Below are 6,986 nucleotides of genomic sequence, written 5' to 3'. Positions count from 1 at the left end.
GTGCAGTGGTGTAATCGTGGCGCACTACTGCCTCGACCTCTTGGGCTCAGGCGATCCTCCTGTCTCAGCCCCCCAAGTAGCTGGGAACACAGGTGTTCACCACCAGGCTCCAGCTAATTTTTAAATTTTTCTGTAGAGACGGTCTTACTCTGTTGCTCAGGCTGGTCTCGAACTCCTGAGCTCAAGCGATCCTCCTGCCTTGCCTTCCTAAAGTGCTGGTATTACAAGCGTAAGTCACCGCGCCCAGCAATACCATTTTAAATATAGATATTATGCTTATGTGAAGTATTAAAAATTGCAAAAAAAAAAAAAAGAAAAGATTTCTGTCCTCTAGGAATTCATAGTAACTTGCAGTTATCTGAGTCATAATTATATTTGTATAATAAAGAATACTTTAGAATAAATAAATCGGTGCATGAATAACGGAATACTGAGAAGATTCCACTGCATGTAAGATTTGACTGCGTAGTTATAATCTCTATCGCCATCTAGCGGCAACAATATTAAAATCAGCTAGAACCAATCAGCAGGAAGCGATTCAGAACTCACCTGTCCGGGAGGATTCAATCTTACCTCAGGAACCACATGCCATAGAATGTGATTTTCTCTCTTTGTTTTTGGTCAGTATGCAGTAGAATGAGTGATGTGGGCAGTTTATATATTAATTATAAGCTTTCTTATTTAGACTTTAAAAGAAGGGTGTGAAAGCGAATATAAAACATGTTTATGCATTATTTCACTTAGAAACCTACATTATCTTCACTTTAGAAACAATTTTCATTTTCCTCTTAGCACATCAAAGGTATATGTTGCTTCAGAAACAATATTTATAATATCTTCTTTTAGATAAAAATGTGAAAATTATCTGTGATTAATTTTATTTAAACAATTTGAAGATATATGACATCTTTTCTGAGCTTTTTTTTCCTGGTTTCAGTAGCAATTAGAAGAGTGATAATCAGATTTAATAAGAATACCCTGAAAAAATAAAATAAGAATAAAATTTTGCTTTTAAAGTTATTTTGGCATAATATCAAAAAGGCACACCAGTTAAACTTTGAAAGACATATGAACCTTAACTCATTCTTGTAGGAAAGGCCATGTGATTAAGTGAATACGTTTCTATAACATCGTTTTCTAATTTATCTTAAATTTATAAGCATGTGTGTTGATCATTATAATTGAATTTATTGTTTTTTGGTCTGGCTAAGTGACTCAAAATTATTTTTAAATAAATGTGCTGAGTATAAAACAGGAGGTATATGGGATATACAATTATTTTTGCCTTGACCTTAATGTTCATTCATCACAGAGGCATCACATAGATTAAATAAAACAAGTTGCATATCTGCACAAAGGAAAAAATGCAGAAATGTTAGGTTTGGGTTTACAGGGTGCAGAGTTAAAATAATCATATATCTCAATTCTTGGGACACGATCTTTATTTTATACAAAGCCCCTCTATTTTGTTACACTCTCCCCTCCCCCACTGTTTCACTCTCAATTTCATTCGGTTTCTTATTTATTTTCATCTAAGCTCTTCTTAGGTTCTTCCCCTTACTGTTTCTACTTCCAATTATTTGTGACTAGTGTGTCCATAGTATTCCCACTTTTTTGTTTCCATTTTTTCTGGTGATAGAAAACCAGGTTGCCTCCTCCTCTTGGTACCACAAGTAATGTTTACATAAAGCACCTTTACATATGACCCTCATGCAGGAATTTTCCTGGTTTATATTCTCAGGGATTTTCATATCTGTAAACTATAGGGATTTTACAGATATGATTTCACAAAGTAATGATTTCTCTTCAGTATACGATACTGTCCAGACTTCTACCCTGAGTGCAGAAGGGCTTCCCATTTCCCCACAGCCTTATCAATATTTGATATATATGCCTGTGGGGGATTGTCTTTGCTGAAGTCTTTACTGTTACATCTCAATATTCTGATTTCCAGTGTGGTAAAGTGTATCTTCATATAATTGTTAGTCATTTTTGTTTCTACTGTGAATTCCTTATTCATATATTTTGCCCATTTTTCTATTGGGTACCTATTCTTTTCTTTATATCTTTGGATATTATTGATATTAATATCTTAACATTTTTGAAAGAACATTTAACTTCTCCCAAAAATTGTCTATGATGTCCTACATTGAACAGGAACTCACAATTTTGTGGTAGGCAAATTTTACTTGTCCCTTTTTTTTTTCAGTACTTCTTTAAAAACCATTACCTACTCACACTCAGTTGATCATATAGTGTAAGGAAGAAATCTGACTTTGTTTATCCAGTTTAATAACATTACATCTTCCAGTACAAAAGCCATCATTTCCCCACTGATTGGAAGTGCAACCAAGTCTGTTCCAGGACTTTTGTTTTTATTTTTATGCCCTGTAGCATGTCTTTGTTTCTGGTGGGACTGGATTTCATCTAGAGCCCACAATTCCTACCCTGAGGAGAACTTGTCTAACACAGAGCTTCTGTGGAAACAGCAGGGACATGGTTAGAGGGGCAGAGCCACCTCAGGAGTCACCATTCCCTGGCGACTGGGGGGATCAACACCAGCTTGAGCCCAGAGTTAGAACTTAAGATCACTACCTTCAGGGAAGGGACCAAAACCAGAACGGGTAATGGCTAACCAAGGCTTGGCATTGTAATTGATAAGGAGGACAGGGCTTATAAAGTCTTCTGATCATTTTTCTTCCTTTATCTCATTTAAAAAAAAAATCTAGCCAAAGTAGGTTTTGTCTCAGAGAAGGGAGCCGTCCACAAATTTAACAAATTCTAAAATCAAGAGACCCTGAGCAACCCAAGATTGGAATCTTGGATATTTCCTCAAATTTTCATAAATGTTATCATAGTACAAATGAATATTAATTATAACATTATAAAAGGCTCAAATGTTATATTAACTCAGATTTAAATTACTCCTTGCTGTAAAAACATCAATGTACTTCTCTTTTCTGGTTAATTTTCTTTTTTCATTTACTGTGCTTTAATGATATTTAAATTTTTTGTAAAAATTATTTCTCTCTGCTCTCACTTGTTCCTCTTCCCAGATTAAACTGTTTCTTGCACATTTGCACTGTCCTTCTGTAGGTTCTCTTCATATTTTCCTCCCCAAATCTACCACTTCTCTTTCAAAATTATTATTATTATTATTATTTGAGACAGGGTCTCATTCTGTCGCCTAGGCTGGACTGCAGTGGCGCGATCTTGGCTCACTGCATCCTCCGCCTCCTGGGTTCAAGCGATCCCGCTCAGTCTCCCGAGCAACTAGGACTACAAGCGAGCACCACCACACCGGCTAACTTTTGTATTTTTTGGTAGAGATGGGGTTTCACCATGTTGGCCAGGTTGGTCTTGAACGCCTGACCTCAGGTGATCCACCCGCCTCGGCCTCCCAAAGTGCTCGGATTACAGGCATGCGCCACCACACCCAGCCTCAAAATTGTCATTTTTTTTTAGGATAATTACTTGGCTTTTGTAAATCCTAGTTCTTTTTTATTTACTGCATGAAAACCCTTTCAATATGCATTTTTAAATTAAAAAAAAGAGAAGATTTAGTTTTAAAAATACAAGATGAGCCTGGAACCTCTGAAGGTGCCAGAAAGCAAGAGATGCTCAGAAAAGGGTGTGGGCATGTCACATAGACACAGGCACAACTCGAAAAGGCACCCAACAGCCAAACTAGCACAATCTGTACAACTAAACAAATAATGATAGAAGAGAAGTAAGAAATATCCATGCACTCATGCTGAGAGAGTAATTATTGGAAGATATAAATAAATGGAGGGTGGGCGTGTGGAAAGCTCTACTTAGAGAAGAATTCTAATTAATGAATGTAGAAGGAATGAAGGAAATGGACAATCTTTCTAGGCAAGTACCAGAAAAATAATGGTTGTAGGCAAGATCCGCTGATAAAATACTAAACTTTGTAGGCAAAAGTTTGAGAAGCTAGATATATGCATAGTCTCAAAGTGTCTTCTCCAAGATATTAATAAAATATAAATAGAAAAATATTACCATTACAGTGTAGAAGCTGGCAGGTACCACCTTCACTAAGGGAACGAGGATAACATTCACTGATAATATGATACATTTTCTTCATGAACCACCTCATAGGCTGCACTGAGAAAGGTACAGCATCACATCTGTGGTATTCTTGCCAAAAATGCAGAACCTCAACCTAATCCTGAGAAAAAAAATCACATCAACCCAAATGGAGGAACCATCTACCTGCCAAGACCATAAAAACAAGGATAGACTGAGGAAATGTTACATATTGGAGGAGACCAAGTGGACATGACAACTAAATGCAATGTAGGACCTCGAATTAGATTTGGGAACAGAAAAACAAACACTACTGGAAAAACTGGTGAACTTCAAATAAGGTAACTTTGTTAATAATATTGTATCAATATTAATATCCTTGTGTTGATGATTACAAGATGTTAACATCAGAGGAAACTGATGAGGGGCCACGTGGGAACTATACATGTATTATTTTTACATTTCTGTAAGTCTAAACTTATTCAAAAATAAAACTTATGTATATATCTATGCATGTATATTTATTAAACATGTTTTCTCTTGTTTAGTTACCTTCTATTTATTATTTTACTTACCAGTACAGAAAAGGTTGCTCAGTTTTCACACGCCTTATGCTGAACTCCACATTTGTACTTTAAAAACAGCAGCAGCAACAACAAAATAAAAGATTTCCTAAATACCTTATATATTACCTGTAAATGTGTAGCATGTTTTCTTGCTCACATCAGAGAACTGAACGTTTGGCGTTTTTATGGTCACCTTAATGTTCTATCAGTTTTTATTTTTGTGGTCGCCTTAATGTTCTATCAGTTTTTCAGAAACTGTTTTATAAAATGATGAAAAATGTTACTGATCTCTCCCTAAGTGGGGCAAACTCCACCCTTTTCCCCACCTTGAGTGACCAATTCTATGACACTGGTATTGTGACTGTGTGTGGCCTGTTGGGAGAGTGCTGAAGCTGAGAATGAAACTGTAGATGCAGAGAGGACAGACGCCTCCAGTGGTGAGAAAATCTTGACCTGATCACCCTACATAATAGCTCCATTGGATTGCTCCAATTGCACCCTGTGCTGATAGGTGTTCTGGTATCAACTGCTGCACTTTGAACAACTTTCTTGCTCTCCAGTAATTAAACATCTCTCATTCAGCATCTCTGAAGGTCAATAGTCCGATTACATAACAATTGGAGCATTGCTCTTGAATACTATTTATCTCTGTTATAAATGAGACAAGATGTAAATGTCTACAGAGGTATTTCAGCAGGAGGCAATTTGGACCTCCAGGAAATATTTCTCAATATTTGCAGATGGTTTTGATTGTCAGGACTGGGAAGGTGGAACTGGCATCTAGTGGGTAGAGGCCAAGGATGCTAGTAAACATCTTACAATGCGCAGAACAACCCACCACACAAAGAACTATCTGGTCCAAAATGTTATTATTGCTGAGGCTGAAGATCCCTCAATACACTAATGGCGCAGTTTGTTCAGGTACTAGTTAAGGAACTATGTCAGAGACATTTAGTCCTTAGAGAAACCTGCTAGTATCACACACATAGAGTCTTCACACTACTAAGCTTCCTTTTAAGATGGTTTTGCTAAAGATACAAGCTGTTCCACTGACCCAGCCTAAGTTTATTATAACAATAATAATAATAAATAACATTTATATAGAGCTTTAAACTATACTAAGGTCATGTGTTACCTCATTTGAACCTTGGCTTGGGATGCTATCACAGTGAGGTCATTCCAGGGTAAAGCCCATTAATCTTTTCTGTTGATATGTATCTAGGGGTCTTAGCAACAATCCCCACTCACACAGAAGGCACAAGGGCACGTAAGTTGATTCTCTAAACCGGCCTTCAAAAGCCTATTGTCCCCTGGAGTTAATAGACAAATAATGACCGTGGATTATGTATCTAATTAAGTTTTTGGCAATAAACAAAAGAAAACCAAATTAGATTGTTGCTATGAAGTGGCACAACAATGTTGACCCTAATTTTTCCATTTTGAGAAAAGTCAAGAAAAGAATTATGACTACTGTAAGAAGGGAGCTGTTTTCTATCTGATTTTTTTTTTTTTTTTTTTTGTATAATGTAACCAAACTTATTAGACTGGGAGAGGAGGTTAACTTTTCCTAAAATCATCTCGATTTTTAATTATCATTCTAGTTTTTTCAGCTAACGCTAAATGCTAATGATTTTCAAATGGATTTCCATAATCATGTTACCAATAGCCTGTAACAATCTCAAATTCAATGTCATCAAAACCCAATGAATGTCTCCCACTTCTTCCTATACTCCTTTTTCTCTTTTCCTTTGAGTTCTATCTTGATAGTGCAGTCCAACAGTGCATGAAACCTTAGAACGCTCAACAATTCTTTTTTTTATTTTTGAGACAGAGTATCCCTCTGTTACTCAGGCTGGAGTGCAGTGGCATGATCTTGGCTCACTGCAGCCTCCACCTCCCAGGTTCAAGCGATTCTCTTGCCTCAGCCTCATGAGTAGCTAGGATTAAAGGTGCCCGCCACTATGCTTGGCTAATTTTTGTACTTTTAGTAGAGATGGGTTTTCACCACGTTGGTCAGGCTGGTCTCAAACTCCTGAGTTCAAGCGATCTGCCCTGCTTGCCCTCCCAAAGTGCTGGGATTACAGGTATGAGCCACCAGGCCTGGCCAACAATTCTTTCCTTTTACTGTCTTCCTAAAATTGATCAAAATTGATCTGAAAAATCTATTTTTGTTTTTAGATTTTTATAATTACTTTTAAATTACGGTAAATATATATATAACACAAAATTTGCCATTTGAATAGCTTTTAAGTATACAATTTAGCACCATTAATTATATTGAAAATATGGTGCAAGTATTACTGATATCTAGTTGCTAAACTTATGTATCACCCCAAATAGGAACTGTATGCCGGTAAGTCTAAACTTATT

At 36.5% G+C, this 6,986-nt stretch overlaps 1 annotated feature.

Annotated features, from left to right (window-relative positions):
- Positions 380-674: a silencer, noted in NCBI's record as "tiled region #15354; HepG2 Repressive DNase unmatched - State 12:CtcfO, and K562 Repressive DNase unmatched - State 12:CtcfO". NCBI's record gives its function as "represses a minimal TATA promoter and a strong SV40 promoter by Sharpr-MPRA in HepG2 and K562 cells {active_cell/tissue: HepG2 | K562}" and the evidence as "EXISTENCE:reporter gene assay evidence [ECO:0000049][PMID:27701403]".

Source organism: Homo sapiens, chromosome 20, assembly GCF_000001405.40.
Source record: "Homo sapiens chromosome 20, GRCh38.p14 Primary Assembly".
Classification (NCBI taxonomy): Eukaryota; Metazoa; Chordata; class Mammalia; order Primates; family Hominidae; genus Homo; species Homo sapiens.
This window is presented reverse-complemented; position numbering and strand designations above follow the sequence as displayed.